The sequence below is a fragment of the Homo sapiens genome, chromosome X (assembly GCF_000001405.40).
Source record: "Homo sapiens chromosome X, GRCh38.p14 Primary Assembly".
NCBI lineage: Eukaryota > Metazoa > Chordata > Mammalia > Primates > Hominidae > Homo > Homo sapiens.
In genome coordinates this window covers 1,469,472-1,494,555 of record NC_000023.11, presented here as the reverse complement: position 1 = coordinate 1,494,555, position 25,084 = coordinate 1,469,472, and the positions used below count along the sequence as shown (strand labels likewise).

Below are 25,084 nucleotides of genomic sequence, written 5' to 3'. Positions count from 1 at the left end.
CCAAACTCATTTTTTTTTTTTAAAGCCTAATTGAAAAATACCGCATTAGGAGAAAAACACATAAAATCCCCCTCGGATTACCTGACCTCGCTCCCTGGGGCCCAGGGCCAAAAAGAGGAAGCTTTTCCATCTATTGTTGCTCTGGCCAGTTTCATAACCGCCATGCACCAAGCTCAGTCTGCAGATGACAGATCGCAGCTAAGAGCAGCTTGCTGGGTCTCCGGAGGCTGCTGGTGTCTGTCTCAAGGTGCGGTGCAGGCACAGCCAGTGGGATTTTTTTCCCAGCAGAGCAGAGAGCTGGCCCTCCACTCCTGCTCCTGTGCGGAGCTCACTCCCATAGGGCAGCCGCCTCTGGCCCAGGAGGAGGGTCCCCCAGGACCCCCTGCCTAGCTTGACGGCTGCTCAGACAAGCACCACCAGACCAGCATCACCCAGGACGTCTGCCCTCCCTGCAGCCACCGTTGTAAGTCACGGGGACCTGGGAGTGTTCGGGTAGGAGAGGCTGCTCTGCAGAAATACCCCAGCTAGCAGGGCATATCCAGGCCAGAGACGCTGCTGAATGCCAGAGAAAGCCCTCAGCTCAGCCTCCCTTTGGGGTGTGTGATTTTTAACCCGGGCTCACCAGAGTGCTGCAAAAGGACACACAGCCTCCAGGCAGGAGCTGTGCCATTTGCACAAGCTCTCGAGGGTCGCAGAGAGGGCTGAGGTTGGCCTAAAACAGACCCCCTTCTTGCACATCTTCAGACGTTGCCGCAAGAAAAGAGCAAAATCGTCTTGTCCGTTTTAACGGAGATTCCCAGTTTGCAAGCCAATTGTTCCTTTGACGAGGGGTACAGGCCGGCCCACGCCGAGATGCTGGGTTGGGTGGCTCTCGGATGAAGAAAGTCCCACCTTCTTTAAAATGCGCTCTCCCAGAAATCTTCTTCACACCTGTCTTTGGCTTTTATTTTGCTTTTGTTTTGTGGGGAGGAGACGTTGTTCTTGGTTTTTCGCTAATAAAAATAGTTCACGTCGACTGAGTGAGGAGGAAGCAGCAGCCACTTTTACAAGGGCTTTATCTCTGCGATCTTTCCTTCCTTCCCTCCCTCCCTCCTCCCTCCTTCCTCCTTCCTCCTCCTTCCCTCCCTCCTCCTTCCTCCTTCCTCCTCCTTCCTCCTTCCCTCCCTCCCTCCTTCCTCCTTCCTCCCTCCCCCTCCCCTCCCCTCCCCTCCCCTCCCCTCCCCTCCCCTCCCCTCCTCTCCTGTCCTCTCTTCTCCTCTCCTTTCTTTCCTTTCTTGTCTCGCACTGTTGCCCAGGCTGGAGTGCAGTGGCGTGACCTCTGCTCACTGCAACCTCCGCCTCCCGGGTTCAAGTGATTCTCCTGCCTCAGCCTCCCACGTAGCTGGGATTACAGGCGCCCACCCCAACGCCCGGCTAATTTTTTGTATTTTTTAGTAGAGATGGGGTCTCACTATGTTGACCAGGCTGATCTCGAACTCCCGACCTCATGATCCACCCGCTTCGGCCTCCCAAAGTGCGCCTGGCCTGATCTCTGGGATTTTCGAAACTTCGTGAGACAGGTGCTGTTACAATCATCCCTGTTTTACCAGTAACGGAAACTGAGGCAGACATGGAGGCGGGGGTGTGTTCAAGACCTACAACCAGAAAGAGGCAGAGGTGGGCGCTGAGTGCTGCTCGTTAGCCTTGAACCACTGCACTGGGGAATTAGTGATGAATGATACGTGACTGCCTTTGAAACAACCATGTCTCAGCCCAGGGCAGGTGGCCTGGGCTCCGTGGGCCCTCTCTCTGGAACTAGGACAATTCTGTCCCTCAACTGGGAGCCCAACCTGCCTACCCCTAGTGCTTGAGGCATAACTGTCTTCTATGGCCAGCAATAGAAACTTGAGTCGAGCTAGCTGAAGTCAAGGTGGAAATTGTCAAATTGGATAATTAGGATTTCTATGGGGGCTTCAGGCATGGCTGGATCCAGGAGCTTACATGGTTGTCAGTTTCTCCTCTTTCTCTTTCTCTCTTCCCACGTTTCAGCCCCACCTTTTTCTGCCTCCCTCAGCTGCAGGGTGTGGAATCACTGGAGGAAGACCACTTTCTCTATAGGGATGGAAAGAGGGTCTCTGGTAGCCTGGGGTCCCCATCTTTTCAGAGCAGAATCAAATGGGAAAAGAGACACCCTCTCTCTCCTGGCACCCACAAGTTACACCTCCTGAAGGGTTCCGACCAGCCATGTCAGAAACAAATGACCACTGCTTGAGATAATTTTTATGAACAGGGTGAGGGTGGCCCCCTAACTGGCCAGGCTTGGGCCACACCCCTCTCTTGGGTGATTGACAGGCTTTGGCCACACACCCCCATCTTCAGTGATTGACAGGCTTGGACCACACCCCCCTATCCTCAGTGATTGAAAGGCTTGGACCACACCCCTCTCCTCATTGATTGGCAGTCCTGGAGAACCACACAGCCCAGACAGGGAGTGACCCCAGGGGCGAGGGGTGCTGGGTGCACAGTTTCCATGGATGCAGCAGAGAGGTCAGGGCCAGTAGCAAGCTGGACCAAAGTGGACCGGAGGGAGGCGGTGGGGCTAACGTCCACACTGCCCCTGCCGCCTTCTGTCCATTCCATCACTCATTCACTCTGCATTCTCAGAGTGGCATTCATTCATGCATTCATTCATGCATTCATTCATTTACTCATTTGCTCCACACATTCCATCACTCATTCGCTCTGCATTCTCAGAGTGGCATTCATTCATTCATTCATTCATTTACTCATTTGCTCCACACATTCCGTCACTCATTGGCTGTGCATTCTCAGAGTGGCATTCATTCATTCACTCATTTACTCATTTGCTCCACACATTCCATCACTCATTCGCTCTGTATTCTCAGAGTGGCATTCATTCATTCATTCATTCATTTACTCATTTGCTCCACACATTCCGTCACTCATTGGCTGTGCATTCTCAGAGTGGCATTCATTCATTCACTCATTTACTCATTTGCTCCACACTTGTCAGGAACTAGTGGGCATCATGCATTCACTCTTTCATTTATTCACTCCACTTTTAGGGAGAAAACCCTACACGTCATTGATTTATGTATTCACCCATTCGTTTATCAAGCAAGTCCTGTGTGCTACTCATTCCTTCATTCCCTCCACATTTGCAGGAATGAATCTCTGTGTGTCATTCATTAATTCCCTTCACATTTGTGGGGAATCCCCGGATGTCATTCATTAATTCCCCCCACATTTGTGGGGAATATCTGGGTATCATTCATTCATTCTCTCTACATTTGCAGAAGTGAATCTGGGGTATCATTCATTCATTCCCCCCACATTTGCAGTGAATATCTGGGTATCATTCATTCATTCTCTCTACATTTGCAGAAGTGAATCTGGGGTATCATTCATTCATTCCCTCCACATTTGTGGAGAATCCCTGGATGTCATTCATTCATTCCCCCCACATTTGCAGGGAATATCTGGGTATCATTCATTCATTCTCTCTACATTTGCAGAAGTGAATCTGGGGTATCATTCATTCATTCCCCCCACATTTGTGGGGAATATCTGGGTATCATTCATTCATTCTCTCTACATTTGCAGAAGTGAATCTGGGGTATCATTCATTCATTCATTCCCCCCACATTTGCAGGGAATATCTGGGTATCATTCATTCATTCTCTCTACATTTGCAGAAGTGAATCTGGGGTATCATTCATTCATTCCCCCCACATTTGCAGGGAATATCTGGGTATCATTCATTCATTCTCTCTACGTTTGCAGAAGTGAATCTGGGGTATCATTCATTCATTCCCCCCACATTTGTGGGGAATATCTGGGTATCATTCATTCATTCTCTCTACATTTGCAGAAGTGAATCTGGGGTATCATTCATTCATTCCCTCCACATTTGTGGAGAATCCCTGGATGTCATTCATTCATTCCCCCCACATTTGCAGGGAATATCTGGGTATCATTCATTCATTCTCTCTACATTTGCAGAAGTGAATCCGGGGTATCATTCATTCATTCCCTCCACATTTGTGGAGAATCCCTGGATGTCATTCATTCATTCCCCCCACATTTGCAGGGAATATCTGGGTATCATTCATTCATTCTCTCTACATTTGCAGAACTGAATCTGGGGTATCATTCATTCATTCCCTCCACATTTGCAGGGAATATCTGGGTATCATTCATTCATTCTCTCTACATTTGCAGAAGTGAATCTGGGGTATCATTCATTCATTCCCTCCACATTTGTGGAGAATCCCTGGATGTCATTCATTCATTCCCCCCACATTTGTGGGGAATATCTGGGTATCATTCATTCATTCTCTCTACATTTGCAGAAGTGAATCTGGGGTATCATTCATTCATTCCCCCCACATTTGTGGGGAATATCTGGGTATCATTCATTCATTCTCTCTACATTTGCAGAAGTGAATCTGGGGTATCATTCATTCATTCCCTCCACATTTGTGGAGAATCCCTGGATGTCATTCATTCATTCCCCCCACATTTGTGGGGAATATCTGGGTATCATTCATTCATTCTCTCTACATTTGCAGAAGTGAATCTGGGGTATCATTCATTCATTCCCCCCACATTTGTGGGGAATATCTGGGTATCATTCATTCTCTCTACATTTGCAGAAGTGAATCTGGGGTATCATTCATTCATTCCCTCCACATTTGTGGAGAATCCCTGGATGTCATTCATTCATTCCCCCCACATTTGCAGGGAATATCTGGGTATCATTCATTCATTCTCTCTACATTTGCAGAAGTGAATCTGGGGTATCATTCATTCATTCCCCCCACATTTGCGGGGAATATCTGGGTATCATTCATTCATTCTCTCTACATTTGCAGAAGTGAATCTGGGGTATCATTCATTCGTTCCCTCCACATTTGCAGGGAAGCCCTGGATGTCATTCATTCGTTCCCTCCACATTTGCAGGGAATATCTGGGTATCATTCATTCATTCTCTCTACATTTGCAGAAGTGAATCCTGGGTGTCAGTCATTCATTCCCTCCACATTTGTGAGGAATCCTTAGGTGTCATTCATTCATTCATTCTCTCCACTGTTGCAGGAGTAAATCTCTGAGTGATATTCATTCTCTCTACATTTACGGAAGTGAATCCTGGGTGTCAGTCATTCATTCCCTCCACATTTGTGAGGAATCCTTAGGTGTCGTTCATTCATTCATTCTCTCCACTGTTGCAGGAGTAAATCTCTGAGTGATATTCATTCCCTCTACATTTGTAGGGAATCCTTAGGTGTCAGTCATTCATTCCCTCCACATTTGTGGGGAATCTCTGGGTATCATTTATTCATTCTCTCTACATTTGCCGAAGTGAATCCTGGGTGTCATTCATTCATTCCCTCCACTTTTGTGGGGAAGCCCTGGGCATCATTCATTACTTTTCTCTACATTTGCAGAAGAGAATCTTGGGTGTCATTCATTCTTTCCCTGCACATTTGTGGGAATGAATCTCTGGGTGTCATTCATTCTTTCCCTCCACATTTGTGGGAGTGAATCCTAGGTATCATCCATTCATTCCCTCCACATTTGCAGGAGTGTACCCTGGATGCCATTCATTCATTCATTCCCTCCACATTTGTGGGAGTGAACCCTGGGTATCATTCATTCATTCCCTCCACATTTGCATAACTGAATCCTGGATGTCATTCATTCATTCTCTCCACATTTGTGTGGACGCTCTGAGTGTTATTCATACATGCACCCATTCATTCCCTCCACAGTCATTGGGAATGTCCTGTATCACACACACACACACACACACACACACACACCCTGCATTTACCAAGACCATCCTGGGTGCACAGCTCTAAGCTAAGGACAGCAGACCCAAAGGAGTTTGCAGCAGGTACCTGGTGGGGAGGAGAGGGTCTTCATGGAGGCAGGAGCTGGCACCCATGGGCTGGAATGAAATGCAGACTTCCAAGAGGCTCTGGCAGGTCCATGGTGGGCTGATGCCCCAAGAAGGAGGGTTGAAGGTGTCACTCAAGACTGTGCTGGGTGCAGACAGGCATAAGGAGCTGCATGGGCCAGAGGAATCACAGGAGCTAGGGCAAGGAGATATCTGTGAGTTGGTCCCACCGCTGTGGGGACACAGCTTTCTGCAGGGCCAGGTAGACCACTGTACCAAGGAAACTGGCATAAGCACATCATCTGTGCCTGACAGCGAGCAGGGGAAACACCACCCCAGCCTTTGAGTAGTAGTCACTTGGTAGCTTTGCATTCACCCCTTCCCAGGAGGGTGGTTTAGGGCAGAACCAGGCAGTGAGATTCCTCAGCTCGTTCTGCCTCTCCAGGAATAACTCAGGCAGGCTGAGGGGCTCCTGGGGGCTCAGCTGTTAGTGATACACTGGGGACCCTGTTGAGACCCACTTCTCTTCTTCTTCTTTTTTTTTTTTAGACAGAGTTTTGCTCTTGTTGGCCAGGCTGGAGTGCAGCGGCACGATCTTGGCTCACCGCAACCTCCACCTCCCAGGTTCAAGCGATTCTCATGCCTCAGCCTCCCAAGTTGCTGGGATTACAGACGCCCACCACCACGCCTGGCTAATTTTTTATAGTTTTAGTAGAGACGGGGTTTCACCGTGTTAGCCAGGATGGTCTCGATCTCCTGACCTCGTGATCCACCCGCCTCGGCCTCCCAAAGTGCTGGGATGACAGGCGTGAGCCACCGCGCCTGGCCCGGCCTTCTTTTTTACCCGTATTCTGACTTGTCCCCAACCCCTGCAAAGAGCAGGTGCAAATGCACCTGCCCAGCAGGCCAGGACTATGCTCCAGCCTCAGGGAGCACCAGGATGATACACTTCAGGTCTCTTCTCCTTGGGGAGCTCTCAGTATGCAGTATGGTCCCTGAAATCCCCTTGGGAGGGCAGGGAGGATGAGACAGGCAGCCAGAGACAGGTGCAGAGTTCAGGCTCAGAGGCGCAGGTGTGTTTCCACTCAGATGCGTGTATTTGGAGATTATTGCAAGGCAGAGTGCGGCATCTTCTACATGCCCAGAAAACCTACAGTCTGGGTCCCAAGCACCACGCCCCTTGTCACTCATGGCCCAGGTTCCTTATGCCCTCTGCCCCTCAGTGTCCCCATATGTAAAGCAAAGATGATAAGCGCGTCTTCCTAGGACGGGTGCACAAAAAAACGTTTGCAAACATTCAATGTGACGTCTGCTCTAAGAACAGGCGATGTCACCTGAGGACTCAAGCACACTTGACCTTCTCCTTCCCTGTCATCTCCAGGCAGCTAGGAAGGAAGCTCTGTGTGGCCGGGAAAGACAAGGAGGAAATTGAAACAATGCTGGACTTGAGAACTTGGACGCCTTTCACTGTGGCTCCCTGAGGGACACCGTGAGGTCACTGGTTCACACAGTGGTGGCCACTGCTTCCCCTCCACTCAGGCCCAGCCAAGCTCAAATCAGCCATAGTGACCACAGACAGGGAAGGCTTGCGCAGCCGGCCCCAGACACCCCGGTAGGGACCTGAGGGATGAGGAGGCCAGGCTGGCTACGGCCCCAGTGACGACTGCATCCCCCAAAAGCGGAAGCTCGGCCCTGGGGCTGCCCTGTCCCGGGGAGAAAGGGTCAGCCTGGCTGTGACCGGGGCTCTCTGAGGGACAGGAAGACCCAAGCAACAAGCGGGGGAGCACTGAGACTGCAGGAGCATTCAGGACTCAGCGCGGGCAGGGAGTCAGCCAGGAGGGTGTAGGGGAAGGGCCAGCTCAGACGCAGGAAGTAAACCAGAAACCTGAGGAATGTCCTTCCTGCTTCAAGAGACAATTGTTTCTTGTTGAGATTATGCTTGACATGAACTCACCGTTTTAAAGCGAATAACTGGGGGACATTTAGGACCTTCACAGTGCTGGGCAACAGCCGCCTCTGTCTATTTCCACCACTTTGTCATTCCTGCAAAAGGAAACACCCCCTTTAGGGGGAAAGTCACTCCCCGTTTCCCCATCCCCAGTCCCAGCCATGGTCATCTGCTTTCTCTCTATATGGATCAGCATGTTCTGGGCATTTTATTGAAATGGAGTCCTACACCATGTGGCCTTCTGTGTCTGGCTTCTCTCCCTGAGCATGATGTCTTCAAGGTTCATCCACAGTGTAGCCTCGGTCACAGCCTTCTTCCTTTTCATGGCTGTATACTATTCCACTGTGTGCATGGGGGGGCCACGTTGTGTTTATCTGTCTGTCTGTTGACGGACACTTGGGCTGTTTCCACCTTTTGGCTGTTGTGAAGAGTGCTGCAGGGAACGTTCATATGCAAGTTTTTATGGGTGCAACCATTTTTTGTTGTTGTTGAGACAGAGTTTCACTCTTTTCACCCAGCCTGGAGTGCAATGGCATGATCTCCGCTCACTGCAACCTCCGCCTCCCGGGTTCAAGCGATTCTCCTGCCTCAGCCTCCCAAGTGGCTGGGATGACAGGTGCCTGCCACCACTCCCAGATAATTTTGTATTTTTAGTAAAGACAGGGTTTCACCATGTTGGCCAGGCTGGTCTTGAACTCCTGGCCTCAGGTGATCCACCTGTCTCAGCTTCCCAAAGTGCTGGGATTATAGGTGTGAGCCACCACACCTAGCCCCTTTTTATACATTTTCTAATGCTACCTTCACTTACCAAAATGACATGCAGAAATAATGTATTATACATATAATTATATATACACATAAGGTGATCTATAAAATATGTTGTATATAATTTTATATATGCTATGTTCAATATGTTACATATAATACACAAATTATATATAACATATAAATGATACTATACAATATATCGTATATAATTATTAAATATACATACAATATAACATGTTTAATTTATAATAAAATAAGTTGTAAATAAATTATTATATAACAATAATATATATAAATAATATATGTAATATTATATAATAATAATTTATACATTATATCACTTTATATGATTATGTATATTATTTACATATTAAATTTACATATCCATATAGCCTTAATTACAATATAAAAGAGAAACAAAAGTAAATAAAATGTTAATAAGGTAATATTTAATTTAATGTGTACACATTTACCCATAATTTACAGTAAGGCATCATTAAGGGGCTGGGCGCAGTGGCTCACGCCTGTAATCCTAGCATTTTGGGTGGCCAAGGCAAGTGGATTGCCTGACCTCAGGAATTTGAGACCAGCCTGGGCAACATGGTACAATGCCCATCTTTGCTAAAATTCAAAAATGTAGCTGGGCGTGGTGGTGCACACCTGTAGTTCCAGCTACTCGGGAGGCTGAGGCACGAGAACTGCTTGAAGCCCAGAGGTGAAGGTTGCCGTGAGCCGCCATGAAGCCACTGCACTCCAGCCTGGACGACCGAGTGAGAAACCACCTTCAAAAGAAGAAAAAAGACATTACTAAGGGCTGGGTGCAGTGGCTCAGACCTGTAATCTCAACACTTTTGGAGGCTGAGGCAGGAGGATTTCTTGAGTCTAGGACTTGGAGACCAGCCTGAGCAACAAACTGCAATCCTGTCTCTAAAAAAAAAAAAAAAAAAAAAAAAAGACATTATTACATCATTAAGGAATCAGATGTTTGCTTAACAAATTCTCCACCTGTCTTTATTTGTCTCCAGCTTTTACCTAGGAGGAGAATTGGTGCATGACATGGTTAACTATTTGAGGACACACCAGGTGATTTTTGGAGTCAATTTGCAAACACGCAGGACTTGAATGGGACACAGAGGATTCTAGTTTTTGCTCAGGAAGGTTCCCCAGCTGCCGCTTCTTCTTCTTCTTCTTCTTTTTTTTTTTTTTTTTTTTTTTTACAGGGTTTTGCTCTGTCACGCAGGCTGGAGTGCAGTGGTGTGATCTCAGCTCACTGCAACCTCCGCCTCCCGGGTTCCAGCAATTCTCCCGTCTCAGCCTCCCGAGTAGCTGGAATGACAGGCACCTGCCATGACACCCGGCTAATTTTTTTTGTATTTTTAGTACAGACGAGGCTTTGCCTTGTTGACCAGGCTGGTCTCGAACTTCCGACCTCATGATCCGCCCGCCTCAGCCTCCCAAAGTGCTGGGATGACTGGCGTGAGCCACCGCGCCCGGCCTGTAATGTTAATTTCTTGTGCTGAGGGGTAGCCTAGGATGGGTACTGCTTTGAAATCTTTTAAAATATCCTTTTCTGTGGGCCTGAGAACCTCCCTTAGGTCACAAAGAGAACAAAGAAATGAGTCTCTGTCTATGATCACTGCTACCTTGGGACCCTTTCACCTTTCAGAGGAGAGAGATTGAAACTGGCTCACACGTGGGGAAATACGTATACTGGAGGCTTGTCACAGCTGAGGGTTCCCGTCATTGGGGGTTTGGGTCCAGGGAGCAAGAGAAAAACACACTCCTTTGTGTTCAAAGATGAAAATCTTTCCTGAGTTTAGGGGAGCCCAGCTTTGGGTTTAGGGGAACCCAGCTTTTTAGGTATATAAGGGCCCAGCTTTGGGTTTAGGGGAGTCCAGCTTTGGGTCTAAGGGAGCCCAGCTTTGAGTTGAGGGGAGCCCAGCTTTGGGTTTAGGGGAACCCAGCTTTGGGTTTAGGGGATCCCAGCTTTGAGTTTTAGGGAAACCCAGCTTTGGGTTTAAGGGAGCTCAGGTTTGGGTTTAGGAGAGCCCAGCTTTTGGTCTAAGGCAGCCCAGCTTCAGGTTTAAAGGAGGTCAGCATTGGGTTTAGGAGAGCCCAGCTCTGTGGTTAAGGGAGCTCAGCTTTGGGTTTAGGGGAGTCCAACTTTGGGTTTTGGGGAGCTCAGCTCTGGGTCTAAGGGAGCCCCTCTTTGGGTTTTAAGGAAGCCTGTTTTTGAGTCTAAGGGAGGGTAGCTTTGGGTTTTAATGGAGCTCCTGTTTGGGTTGTTTCTTTTTTTTCTCTCTCTTTAGACAAAGTTTTGTTCTTGTTGCCCAGGCTGGAGTGCAGTGGCGCAATGTTGGCTCACCGCGACCTCTGCCTCCCGGGTTCAAGCAATTCTCCTGCCTCAGCCTCCTGAGTAGCTGGGATTACAGGCATGCGCCTCCATGCCTGGCTAATTTTGTATTTTTAGTAGAGATGGGGTTTCTCCATGTTGGTCAGGCTGGTCTCGAACTCCCAGCCTCAGGTGATCCACCCACCTCAGCCTCCCAAAGTGCTGGGATTACAGGCATGAGCCACCACGCCTGGCTCCTGTTTGGGTTTTAAGGAAACCCCGCTTTGGATCTAAGGGAGCCCAGCTTTGACTTCGGGCAGGAACAAGGTAGTTGAGACCGTCTCGGTTTCTTCTCCAGGGATCTTTCTCTTTGACTGCTTTGCTGAGCACATGGCTGGAAACAGGATGAGCAGAATCCACCAGATCACAATTAAAGTATCCTAAGGCAAGTCCGCGTCAACTCACACTGAGCAACGATCTTTATTTATTTATTTAAATTAAAATAATTGATTTTATCTTTCATTTAAGTTTTAGGGTACATGTGCACAACGTGCAGGTTTGTTACATATGTATACATGTGCCATGTTGGTGTGCTGCACCCATTAACTCGTCATTTAGCATTAGGTATATCTCCTAATGCTATCCCTCCCCCGTCCCCCCACCCCACAACAGTCCCCGGTGTGTGATGTTCTCCTTCCTGTGTCCATGTGTTCTCATGGTTCAATTCCCACCTATGAGTGAGAACATGCAGTGTTTGGTTTTTTGTCCTTGCGATAGTTTGCTGAGAATGATGGTTTCGAGCTTCATCCATGTCCCTACAAAGGACATGAACTCATCATTTTTGATGGCTGCATAGTATTCCATGGTGTATATGTGCCACATTTTCATAAATGGTGCTGGGAAAACTGACTAGCCATATGTTGAAAGCTGAAACTGGATCCCTTCCTTACACCTTATACTAAAATTAATTCAAGATGGATTAAATACTTAAATTTAGATCTAAAACCATAAAATCCCTAGAAGAAAACCTAGGCACTACCATTCAGGACATAGGCATGGGCAAGGACTTCATGTCTAGAGCAACGATCTTTAAACAGAGAGCAGCTGTTAGGAAGTCAAGCCTGCGAACCTTCCTGTCACCTCTCTCTCATCTGTTAAATGAATCTGTCTGCCATAACCTGCTAAAACCATGGGCACTGTGGCTCAGTAACGGCAGAAGTGCTTAAATTTCAGCATACGTGCTATTTCCACACTCTTCTTTTGCAGCAGGGCAGGAGCCACACACTCAACCACTTTGGGTTTTTTTTTTTTTTTTCACCAAATGGCATTTCATGTTAATTAGCTTAATTCCACGTACAGTGGCTTCCTGCCTTCCAGAGTGAGGCCGATTTTGCTGCTGTTGAGACATCCTCACCCATACACACACACACACACACACACACACACACCACACACACAAATTAATTTTGTTTCAAAAAGGGGCTTCTTATGTTTCTCAGAATCTGCTCTCTGGCCAGCGATGAAGCCCCGTGCTATATACTCTGAGAATGAGATACAGAAATCAGAGAAACGCGGCCGCTGCCTTTGCAGAAGACGCAGATCAAAATCTCCACGGGGCGTCTGCGGAGGACAGCATGCAAATCTCGCTGGGCAAACGGTCTGCTTCGTTGGGTGATGCAATACAGGAAAATCAACACACAGCGGCAGAGCTCAGAGCATTTCCTACGCGTTTTTGTGCTTAGCTAGGAGGATTCTTGCCTTGTGATCTGAGGCCGACGCCAGCAGGTCCTCTATCCCCTGACGCCTGCCAGCTGCCAGTTCACTGGGGCTGGTGGGTCACTTTGAAGTCAGTAGAACACAGAGTTCGTTCAGAGGCAGGTGTTATCACAGAAACAGGGGTCACTGGGTCTACAAAGATGGGGAACTTTGAGGGTGCGAGGGTTGGAAGCTGAGCTCCACTAAACCCAAAGCTGGACTCTCCTAATCCCAAAGCTGGACTCTCCTAATCCCAAAGCTGGACTCTCCTAATCCCAAAGCTGGACTCTCCTAAACCCAAAGCTGGGCTCCTTAAACCCAAAGCTGGGATCCCTTAAGCCCAAAGCTGGGATCCCTTAAACCCAAAGCTTGAAGAAAATGTGACTACCTGGCCGGGCACGGTGGCTCACGCCTGTAATCCCAGCACTTTGGGAGGTCGAGGCAGGTGGATCACCTGAGGTCGGGAGTTCAAGACCAGCCCGGCTAACATAGTGAAATCCCATCTCTGCTAAAAACACAAAACTTAGCCAGGCGTGGTGGCAGGTGCCTGTCAGCTACTCTGGAGGCTGAGGCAGGAGAATGGCTTGAACCCGGGAGGCGGAGGTTGCAGGGAGCCGACGTTGTGCCATTGCACTCCAGCCTGGACCACAGAGCAAGACTCAGCCTCAAGAAAAAAAAAAAATGTATTGCGTGCTGCAGAGTGACCTAAAGGTCAGAGGGTGCAGGGACCGTCTTCTTGTGACCAGCATTCAATGAGAGTTCCGGTACTTCATCTGTTGGTATCTCTAGATCTTAGTCACCCTGAGACCTGTCGGCCGGCATGTCTCGGCGGTATTAATTTGCAATTCCCTGATGAGCTACGACATGGAGTGATTTTTCGTAGGTGAATTTGCCACCTGCAAAGCATCTTTCGTGAGGTGGCCCATGTTTAAATGGTTTTTTTTTTTTCCAGTGGTTGAATCTTAAGAGTTTTTTTTGGCACATTTTGCATACTGGTTCTTTGTTTTAAAAAAAGTTCTTTTATTTTCTTTTTATTTTACTTTAAGTTCTGGGGTACATGTGCAGAACATGCAGGTTTGTTACATAGGTGTACAGGTGCCAGGGTGGTTTGCTGCACCCATCAACCCGTCATCTACATTAGGTATTTGTCCTAATGCTCTCCCTCCTCTATCCCCTCACCCCCCGACAGGCCCTGGTGTGTGACGTTCCCCTCCCTGTGTCCATGTGTTCTCATTGTTCAACTCCCACTTATGAGTGACAACATGCAGTGTTTGGTTTTCTGTTCCTCTGTTAGTTTCTCAGAATGATGGCTTCCAGCTTCATCCATGTCCCAGCTTACACAGGAGGCTGAGACAGAAGGATCTCTTGAGGCCAGGAGTTCGAGGCTGCAGTGAGCGGTCATTGCACTACTGCCCCCAGCTTGGTTGACAGAGAAAGGCCCTGTCTCAAAAAAAAAAAAACCCGGGAAGCGCAAGCTGCAGTGAGCCAAGGTCGTGCCACTGCAGTCCAGCTCAGGAGACAGAGGGAAACTCTGACTCAGCCAATAAAAAAAAAAAAGAAAGAAAAGAAAGAAACATGTCAACCTCTGTTGCTGTGATGAAAATATGAGTTGAAACCTCTCACCCTTCAGGCTAGTTGCTGTCACCCTTGTTGATGAGGGTGTGAGAATGAGTGTTGCCCTTGTCTATCAGCTGTAAGCACATATTGGTGAAATTTATTGGGTGGATATTTGGTGATATTCCCTGTGTTTCTATCTTCTGGAAGGAATGGTAGAGAATCAATATAATTTCTTCCTTAAATGTTGGGGAAAATTCATCAGTAAACCCATCTGGGCCTGGAGCCTTTTGTTTGGGAAGGTTATTAAATTATCGATTCAATTTCTTTAAGAGATATAGGCTCACTCAGATTGGCTGTTTCTTCTTGTGTGAGTTGTCAGATTTTATCCTTTTGTTCTTTTCATCTAGGTGATCAATTTTATGGGCACAGAATTGTTTATAATATTTCTTTATGATCTTTTTAATGTCCATGGGATCTGTAGTGATGTCTCCTCTTTCATTTACAGTATTAGTAACTTGTGTCCTCATTCTTTGTTGTTGTTAGCCTGACTAGAAGCTTATTACTCTCATTGATTGTTATTTCAAAGAACAAGCCTATGGTTTTGATTTTTGTCTATTGACTTGCTGTTTTCAATTGCACTGATTTCTGTCCTCTATGGATTTCCTATTTTCAAATCCACTGATTTCTCCTCTAATCTAATATTTATGATTTATTTCTTTCTTCTTCCATTAGATTTAATTTGCTCTTCTTTTTCTAGTTTCTCGAGGTGGAAACTTAAATTATTGATTTTAGATCTTACTTCCTTTCTAATACATGCATTCCATTTAAAATATGCAAACCCTTCAAATCAGCAGATCTTCTCCTAGAAATCGATCCTAGAAAATGTTCTCACAGGTATGCATAAAAATACTTACAGAGGAGTGTGTGTAAGCACACAGGCTGAAGCAGAGTTGATCCATCCAAATCCCCTCACTGTGGGGCATATGGTTAGAGACACCACAAGACATTCACAAAAGTGGTGACGGGTGTATGTCCTACTATGCAAAATAAAACTTACCTGTGTATGAAAGGAGGCTCCAGAGCAAACGAACTCCCAGAGGTTACTTCTGAAGGGAAGTGGGACCTGGAGGGGAAAGATCCAAAGACAAACACGAATACAGAGCTCTCTATTTCTCTTTATTCTTTTACTCATAACAAGTGTGTGTGTGTGTTCTGTAATTGGAAGATCTAAAAATTAAACCAAAGTTGAAAACTCAATGGTGTCTGGAAGTTCAGAAGAGGTTGCATCTGCTTCTGTGGCTGAGGGGACTTGGAATGTGGGAACCTGGAAGTGGTGGTATCAACCCCGGTTTTATTAGGATAAGTTGCAGTTCAGTGGGGAGGGACCACCAGAAAGGCAGACAGCAGGGGGCAGGAGGCTTCTGGTATATTCCATGATAGTCTTTGCACCATGAGCCCACCACCTAGCTTCTCTGTTTTCCCAGCCCCTGCTATCTATGTTCACATAAAAAGATACCTGTACCGGGAGCAGTGGCTCACACCTGCAATCCCAGCACTTTGGGAGGCCGAGGTGGGTGGATCATAAGGTCAGGAGTTCGAGACCAGCCTGGCCAACATGCTGGAACCCCCATCTCTACTAAAAATACAAAAATTAGCCAAGCATGGTGGCAGGCGCCTGTAGTCCCAGATATTCAGGAGGCTGAGGCAAGAGAATCGCTTGAACCCGGGAGGCGGAGGTTGCAGTGAGCCGAGATCGTGCCACTTCACTCCAGCCTGGACAACAGAGCGAGACTCTGTCTCAAAAAAATAAATAAATAAATAAAAGATACCTGTGCCACTTCAGCTTCCCATATTGAAAACCACCAACTCTCTTCCTACTTCCTCCCTCCCAAAAGGACCTGTCTGTCACCCTACAACCTCTCTGCAATCTCTTATCTACAGTCTGCCTTCTGCAATCTCTCTAGTTTATATGATCCCTGTTTGCAAAAGATATGTTGGTAATAATTTCTGCTTCCCTGCTGGGCACACACACACACACACACACACATACGCCTGCCAGCACCATTTTTCATTTTAAAAGCATTGGTGTCCATCATACAGAGAAATGCTTAGGATTGGAAACAGGAGATACCAATGGAAGGTTCCACATGAGTCAAGAACTTCTCTTTGTTATTGCTTCTGGCCACAGCTCTGACGTCTGACCCCACCCCAGCTCAGGGGCCCAAGAGATGCTTTAGCTCATGTTCCATCTGTCTTCCTGAAGACCAGGTCTCCTCCTCTGTGATGGGGTGGGAGGTCCGTGACGGCAAGGCAATGAGGGGCACGTGCAGGCATTTTAAGGAATCGCTCTTCATCCACAGCTGGTCACTAACCATGATGAGACCACTGTCCCTTTCCACGACACCAGCTTCTTGCTAGGAACATCTGCCTGGGGTCTTTTCTCTCCCCGAAAGCCTCTTGCAGACATTCTTTGGAAAGTACTCCTGAGCTCTGTGTGTTTGTTGAAGGCTGCTCTTGTCACACAGTTGCTTGAGGGCAGGTTTCTCAGCCTTAGCACTGCTGACATTTCAGCCCAGATGATCCTCTGTGGTGGGGCCATCCTGTGTACTGTAGGGTGTTGAGCAGTGTCCCTGGGATCTACCCACCAGATGCCAGACGCATCTTCCCAATTATGATACCTGAATCATTCACATTTGCAAACTATTGAATGGATAAATAATTGATGCATAGATAAATAATTGATAGATTGATGAACACGTATATGTGATTGTTAGATAACTGATTCACAGATGATAGATGTAATTAATAGATAACTGATTGGTAGGTAATTGATATGAATAGATGAAAGATCCATAGAAAGATGATTGATTCATAATTGATAGATATGATTGCTAGATAGATAAGTAATTGATAGAGAGAAAATTGATAGGTAGATAGATGATCGATTGATAGATAATTGATATAGATAGATGATAGATCAAGGGTTGCAAGACGATTGATATAGATAGATGATAGATGATAGATGGATGACAGGGGTTAGATCAACAAATGGATTCATGGATAGACAGATGGTGAATTTCTTCTTCTTCTTCTTCTTTTTTTTTTTTTGAGATGCAGTCTTGCTCTGTCGCCCAGGCTGGGGTGCAATGGCACAATCTCAGCTCACTGCAACCTCCGCCTCCCAGGTCCAAGTGCTTCTCCTGCCTCAGCCTCCCAAGTAGCTGGGATTAGAGGCACCCGCCACCACACCTGGCTAGTTTTTGTATTTTGAGTAGAGACGGGGCTTCACCGTGTTGGCCAAGCTGGTCTCAAACTCCTGACCTCAGGTGATCCACCCACCTCGGCCTCCCAAAGTGCTGAGATTACAGGTGTGAGCCACTGCTCCAGGCTGACGGTGAAGTTCTTATGCTCATGCCAGGTTGTCAACCTCAGCACTGTAGATATTTGAGGCTGGATGCTTCTCTGTGGTGGGGACCCTCCTGTGCATGGTAGGGTGTTGAGCACCATCCCTGGGCTCCACCCACCAGATCCCAGTAGCATCCTTCCTTAAGTTGTGGCAACCAGGGATGTTTCCTACATTTCCAACTATTCTTGAGGGTAGGGGAAGCCTTCTAGGTGACCCTTGTTCTTCTAGACCTGGCATCAGCCACCCTTGGCTACCTCTCAAACATCTATATGACCCATTATATTTCTTTTTTTTTTTTCTTTTTGAGGCAGAGTCTCACTTTGTCACCCAGGCTGGAGTGCAGTGGTGCCATCTAGGCTTACTGCAAGCTCTGCCTCCGGGGTTCATGCCATTCTCCTGCCTCAGCCTCCCGAGTAGCTGGGACTACAGGCACCCGCCACCACGCCCGGCTAATTTTTTTTTTCTTTTTTGTATTTTTAGTAGAGAAGGGGTTTCACCGTGTTAGCCAGGATGGTCTCCATCTCCTGACCTCATGATCTGCCCACCTCAGCCTCCCAAAGTGCTGGGATTACAGACATGAGCCACCGTGCCCAGCCGACCCATTATATTTCTAAATCGATATCAAGGACTCTTGCTCAAACAGGTCTGGGTGCACTAACAGTGACCCTGAGACCACATTGTAAAATCCTGAACAACTTGGTCATAGGAGGTGTCCCAAAGCTGGATTCTTCCTGTGACCCTTGTAGGTCAGCACCAGGTGTATACCTGTACCTCCTCCCTCCTGGAGCTGGAAGGGGTCTGATGCCTGGGTCATGGAGAGCTCTGGACAGCCCCTGTGCCATAGATCCACATGTCAAAGGTCAAGAAGATGTCTTGGCCCCTGCAGGGAGATGCTTGAGCAGGGAGCTCTGAGCCTTGCTTCCTTCCCTACCCTAGTGGTTCAATGCAACCATGGCAGGTGAGGAGAGGGTCCTATGCAGCCATTCCTCCTGGGCTTTGGCAAATCACATCATAATCTATATGCTCCACTCTGCTAGTGTTGGACATTTCTCAACAGTAAGTCAACCAAAGAAAGGGGGACTGCATGAATACATGTTGTTGTTGTTATTGCTTTGCAGTGCCGTCTTTATATCTTCAAGTCTTGAGATCCTTGTCTTCCATTGAGTTTCTGAGGCCCATTGGCTTGTTCCTCATTTCTTTCTCTTATCCTATAATCTTGTGCTTTTCATGCTTTATCTTTCTTTTAAGGTTCTTCCTCTCTTTTATTTGGTATGATGACGCTTTCTCTAATTTCTTTGAAGTCTGTTGGTTAAAACTTTTCCTCTCTTTTCTCGGTGTATTGGTTTGCGACAGCTGCCATAACTAATTACCACTGATGTGGTGGCTTAAATAACAGCAATGCATTCTCTCCCCATCCTGGAGACCAGAAGTCTGAGATGAAGGTATTGGCAGGGTTGGTTCCTCATTAGGGCTCTGAGGGAAAATCTGTTCCAAGCTTTGCTGCAGCTTCTGGTGATTTTCTGGAAACAATCGGCATTTCATGGTGGATAGAAGCATCCATCCATGCATCATCTATTCATCCATCCACCCATCTACCCACCCACCCATCTACCCACTCATCCATCCATCCACCCATCCATCCACCTACCCATCCACCCACTCATCCATCCATCCACCCATCCATACATCTGCCCATCCATCTACCCATCAACCCATCCATTCATCCACCCATAAATCCAGCCACCTAAACACTGATCCATCCATCCACCCACCCACCCACCCACTTATCCATCCCTCCACACAGGCATACACCTATTCATCTATCCATCCACCCGTCTATCCATCTACCCATCCATCTACCCATCCTCATCCATTCCTCATACATCCATTCACCCATCCTCCCACTCATCCATCTGTCCACCCATCCATCCACCCACACGTCCAACCACCTAAACACTGATTCATCCATCCACCCACCCACTTATCCATCCATCCATCCATCCATCCATCCACACACCCATACACCTATTCATCTATCCAGCCACCCATCTACACACCCATACACCTATTCATCTATCCAGCCACCCATCTATCCATCCACCCATCCATCTACCCATCCTCATCCATTCATCATACATCCATTCACCCATCCATCTACCCATCCTCATCCATTCATCATACATCCATTCACCCATCCTCCCACTCATCCATCTGTCCACCCATCCATCCACCCACACGTCCAACCACCTAAACACTGATCCATCCATCCACCCACCCACTTATCCATCCATCCATCCATCCATCCATCCATCCATCCATCCATCCATCCATCCACACACCCATACACCTATTCATCTATCCAGCCACCCATCTATCCATCTACCCATCCATCTACCCATCCTCATCCATTCATCATACATCCATTCACCCATCCTCCCACTCATCCATCTATCCACCCATCCATCCACTCACACGTCCATCCACCTAAACACTGATCCATCCATCCACCCACCCACTTATCCATCCATCCATCCATCCATCCATCCACACACCCATACACCTATTCATCTATCCAGCCACCCATCTATCCATCCACCCATCCATCTACCCATCCTCATCCATTCATCCTCCATCCACTCACCCATCCTCCCACTCATCCATCTATTCACCCTCCCATCCACCCACCCATCCACCTACTCATCTATTCATCCACCCATCCATACACCCACCCATCCATCTACCCATCAACCCATCCATTCATCCACCCACACATCCACCTATCTAAACACTGATCCATACATCCACCCATTCACCCACCTACCCACCCATTCACAAACCCGCCTACCATTCATCCACCCATCCACCCTCCCATCCACCCACCCATCCATCCACTCATCCATGCATCCGTCCATCCACCCACTCATCCATCTATCCACCCATCCATCCACCCACCCATCCACCTACTCATCTATACATCCACCAATCCATCTACCCATCAACCATCAATGCATCCACCCACATATCCACCTATCTAAACACTGATCCATCCATCCACCCATCCACCCACCCACCCACTCACCCATTCACAAACCCACCCACCATTCATCCACCCACCCATCCATCTACCCATCCCCATCCATTCATCATCCATCCACCCACCCATCCACCCAGTCATCCATCTATCCACCCATACATCCACCTACTCATCTATACATCCACCCATCCATCTACCCATCAATCCATCCATTCATCCACCCACACATCCACCTATCTAAACACTGATCCATCAATCCACCCATTCACCCACCTACCCACCCATTCACAAACCCACCTACCATTCATCCACCCACCCACCCATCCATCCACCCATCCATGCATCCATCCATTCACCCAGTCATCCACCTACTCATCCATACATCCACCCATCCATCTACCCATCAACTCATCCATTCATCCACCCACACATCCATCTATCTAAACACTGATCCATCCACCCACCCATCCACCCACCCACCCACTCACCCATTCAGAAACCCATCCACCATTCATCCACCCATGCATCCATCTACCCATCCCCATCCATTCATCATCCATCCAACCCCCCATCCACCCACTCATCCATCTATTCACCCATCCGTCCACGCACCCATCTACCTACTCATCTATCCATCTACCTACTCATCTATCCATCCACCCACCCATCCATCCACCCATCCATCTACCTACTCATCTATCCATCCACCCACCCATCCATCCACCCATCCATCTACCCATCAACCCATCAATTCATCCACCCACACTTCCAGTTATCTAAACACTAATCCATCCATCCACCCATCCACCCACCCACTCACCCATTCACAAACCCACCTACCATTCATCCACCCATCCACCCTCCCACCCACCCCCATCCATCCACCCACCCATCCGCCCACCCATGCACTCATCCACTCACCCGCCCATCCATCTACCCATCCACATCCATTCATCATCCATCCACCAACCCATCCACCCACTCATCCATCTAGCCACTCATCCATCCACCCACCCATCCACCTACTCATCTATACATCCACCCATCCATCTACCCATCAACCCATCAATTCATCCACCCACACATCTATCCACCTAAACACTGATCTATCCATCCACACATCCACCCACCCACCCACCATTCATCCACACATCCACCCTCCCACCCATCCACCCATCCATGCATTCATCCATACATCCTCCCATCCATCTACCCATCAACCCATCCATTCATCCACCCACACATCCTATCTAAACACTGATCCAGCCATCCACCCACTCACCCACCTACCCACCCATTCACAAACCCACCTACCATTCATCCGCACACCCACCCTCCCACCCACCCACCCATCCACCCATCCATCCACCCACCCATCTGCCCACCCATGCACTCATCCACTCACCCACCCATCCATCCATCCACCCACCCATGTACCCATTCATCCACCCATCTATGCATCTACCCATCCATCCACCCACCCATCCATCCATTTATTCATCCATCTACCCATCCATCCACTCTCGTCTCTGTCTTCATCTTTCCATGCCTTCTCTCTGTGTCTGTGCCTAAATTTCTCTTTCTCCTAAGGACGCCAGTGAATTTTATTAGGGCCTCTCCCTACTCTATTATGACCACATTTTGACTTCACTAATGACATAGACGCAGACCCTATTTCTAAGTAAGAAATGGCCATAATACCGAGAGTATCAGCCAGGGTGTGGCCCACGACAACTTCCTTCTACGTAATCAAAGTAGGTAATTGAAGCCAGCGTCTGTTTTGTCTTCCAAATCCACAGCTCCAACAGAGTGCCATTTGCTGTCTTTGGGGTTGAGGGCCTCCTGAGGCAGCCCTATCAAAAGAACCACAAACTGGGTGGTGCAAACACCCCCAGAAAACAGAAAGGAGAGCAGACGACAAGCACGGGGCTGGCTTGTGGTTCCTTAGGGCTGGGGCCTCTCACTCCCCTGTGTGTTCAACAGCTGGGACAGCCCCCAGCACTCAGGAAAGAGGGGTGGTTATAGCCAGAAGACAATAGCTGGCAAAAAAGGGTCTGTCACCGGCATGCAATCCCTGCTGCCCACGAGGAGATGCCTTTTGTCTATTTCTCATCCCAACCCTGTAAGGTCCACCCGGAACAAGACTGTAGTGATCACTGCACTCAGCATCTGAACCCTTTAGAAAGGGGTTCCCAGGGCTGGGAATGAGGGAAGAGCAGCTTTATGCACAATAGCCAAGAATCAGGAACACGCCAGGCGCGGTGGCTCACACCTGTCATCCCAGCACTTTGGGAGGCCGAGGCGGGCAGATCATGGGAGGTCAGGAGTTTGAGACCAGCCTGGCCAACATGATGAAAGCTTGTCGCTACTAAAATTATTAAAAAAAAAAAATGGGCTGGGTGTGATGGCTCGTGCCTGTAATCCCAGCACTTTGGGAGGCCGAGGAGGGTGGATCATACATCAGAGGTCAGGAGTTTGAGACCAGCCTGGCCAACATGATGAAACCCCGTCGTTACTAAAATTACAAAAAAAAAAAAAAAAAAAAAATGGGCTGGGCGCGGTGGCTCACGTCTGTAGTCCCAGCACTTTGGGAGACTGAGGAGGGTGGATCACCTGAGGTCAGCAGTTCACAACCAGCCTGGCCAACATGGTGAAACCCTGTCTCTACTAAAAATACAAAAATTAGCTGGGTGCGGTGATGCATGCCTGTAGTCCCAGCTACTCCAGAGGCTGAGGCAGGAAAATTGCTTGAACCGGGGAAGCGGAGGTTGCCGAGAGCCGAGATCACACCATTGCACTCCAGCCTGGGCAAAAAGAGCGAAACTCCCTCTCAAAAAAAAAATTACAAAAAAATTAGCCAGGCGTGGTGGCAGGTTCCTGTAGCCCCAGCTACTTGGGAGGCTGAGGCAGGAGAATTGCTTGAACCCAGGAGGCGGAGGTTGCACTGAGCCAAGATCGCACCACTACACTCCAGCCTGGGCAACAGAGCAAGACTCCATCTCAAAAAAAAAAAAAAAAATCAGAAAGAACAAAAATGTCCATCCACAGGAGAATGAATAAACAGAATGTGGTCTATCCACACAGTAGACTATTATGCACCCACTGAAAGGACTCAAGCTCTGACCCAGGCTGCAGCGTGGATGAACTTTGAAGACCCCTGGCTCAGTGACAGAAGCTAGACACAAAAGACCACATATTGTAGAATTTTATTCTTATAAAATATCTAGAATAGGCAGATCCACAGAGACAGGAAGCAGATTTGAGGTTCACAGGGGCTGGGGACAGGAACGAACAGGATTAGCAGTTGTGGGGTTCTGAAGGGTTTTTGTTTTGTTTTGAGATGGAGTTTTGCTTTTGTTGCCCAGGCTGGAGTGCAATGGTGTGATCTCGGCTCACTGCAACCTCTGCCCCCTACCCAGGTTCAAGCGATTCTCCTGCCTTAGCCTCTGGAGTAGCTGGGATTACAGGCATGTGCCACAACACCCGGTTAATTTTTTTTGTATTTTTAGTAGAGACAGGGTTTCACCATGTTGGGAAGGCTGGTCTTGAACTCCTGACCTCAGGTGATCCACCTGCCTCGGCCTCCCAAAGTGATGGGATTACAGACGTGAGTCACCGCGCCTGGCCCATTTGTTTTTGTTTGTTTGTTTGTTTAATTTTAGTAACAACAGGATTTCACCATGTTGGCCAGGCTGGTCTCGAACTCCTGACCTCAGGTGATCCACCTGCCTCGGCCTCCCAAAGTGCTGGAATTACAGGTGTGAGCCATGATGCCCGGCCAGGTCCTGAGTTTTGTTTAGGGATAAAAATGGTTCTGGAATTGCATTATGGTGTTGTTTGCACATCTGTGAATATATTAAAAACCATTGAACTGTATGAATGAGTGAAAGCTTATGGTACGTAACTCACGTCTTGGTAAAGCTGTTTTTTTGTTTGTTGGTTTTGTTTTGTTTTGAGACAGAGTCTCGCTCTGTTGCCCAGGCTGGATGGAGTACAGTGGTGCGATCTCGGCTCACTGCAAGCTCCGCCTCCCGGGTTCAGGCCATTCTCCTGCCTCAGCCTCCCGAGTAGCTGGGACTCGCCACCATGCCACCACGCCCGGCTAATTTTTTTGTTTTTTTGTTTTTTTAGTAGAGATGGGGTTTCACCGTGTTAGCCAGGATGGTCTTGATCTCCTGACCTCGTGATCTGCCCACCTCGGCCTTCCAAAGTGCTGGGATTACAGGTGTGAGCCACCGTGCCCGGCTGGCAAAGCTGTTTTAAGAAGAAATAAGTGAGAGGGCTGGAGGAGATACACACAGACCCTCAAGAGGAGAGAAACATTGCTGGATGCATTGCTGCCAGACAGGTGTGCATTTACCTGCAAAGCATAAGAAAAAGGGTCC

At 48.0% G+C, this 25,084-nt stretch overlaps 1 protein-coding gene across 8 annotated transcripts in view, besides 3 other annotated features; it reads left to right on the top strand.

Moving 5' to 3' along the window:
- The window catches only part of P2RY8 (P2Y receptor family member 8), a 74,605-nt gene that overhangs the window by 42,630 nt on the left and 6,891 nt on the right, over positions 1–25,084 (top strand). The window contains exons 1-2 of one of the 8 annotated variants that reach the window (NM_001424192.1): positions 176–463; positions 1,435–1,559. The exons of 2 other annotated variants lie outside the window; for them this stretch is intronic. The gene's annotated coding sequence lies outside the window, so the exon portion shown is untranslated. Of the gene's footprint in view, positions 1–175; positions 464–1,434; positions 1,560–11,305; positions 11,393–12,446; positions 13,582–25,084 lie in introns of those variants that run through there. 5 more of the 8 variants (NM_001424188.1, NM_001424187.1, NM_001424190.1 and 2 more) reach the window with 5 other exon arrangements.
- Positions 12,283–12,994: an enhancer, noted in NCBI's record as "OCT4-NANOG-H3K27ac-H3K4me1 hESC enhancer chrX:1600455-1601166 (GRCh37/hg19 assembly coordinates)". NCBI's record gives its function as "activates a minimal SCP1, AML or CMV promoter by ChIP-STARR-seq in primed H9 embryonic stem cells {active_cell/tissue: H9 hESC(primed)}" and the evidence as "EXISTENCE:reporter gene assay evidence [ECO:0000049][PMID:30033119]".
- Positions 12,287–12,786: an enhancer, noted in NCBI's record as "OCT4-NANOG-H3K27ac hESC enhancer chrY:1550663-1551162 (GRCh37/hg19 assembly coordinates)". NCBI's record gives its function as "activates a minimal SCP1, AML or CMV promoter by ChIP-STARR-seq in primed H9 embryonic stem cells {active_cell/tissue: H9 hESC(primed)}" and the evidence as "EXISTENCE:reporter gene assay evidence [ECO:0000049][PMID:30033119]".
- Positions 13,460–13,628: a silencer, noted in NCBI's record as "fragment chrX:1599821-1599989 (GRCh37/hg19 assembly coordinates)". NCBI's record gives its function as "represses an EF-1alpha promoter that drives an FKBP-Casp9 reporter gene in an ReSE screen in HepG2 liver carcinoma cells {active_cell/tissue: HepG2}" and the evidence as "EXISTENCE:reporter gene assay evidence [ECO:0000049][PMID:32094911]".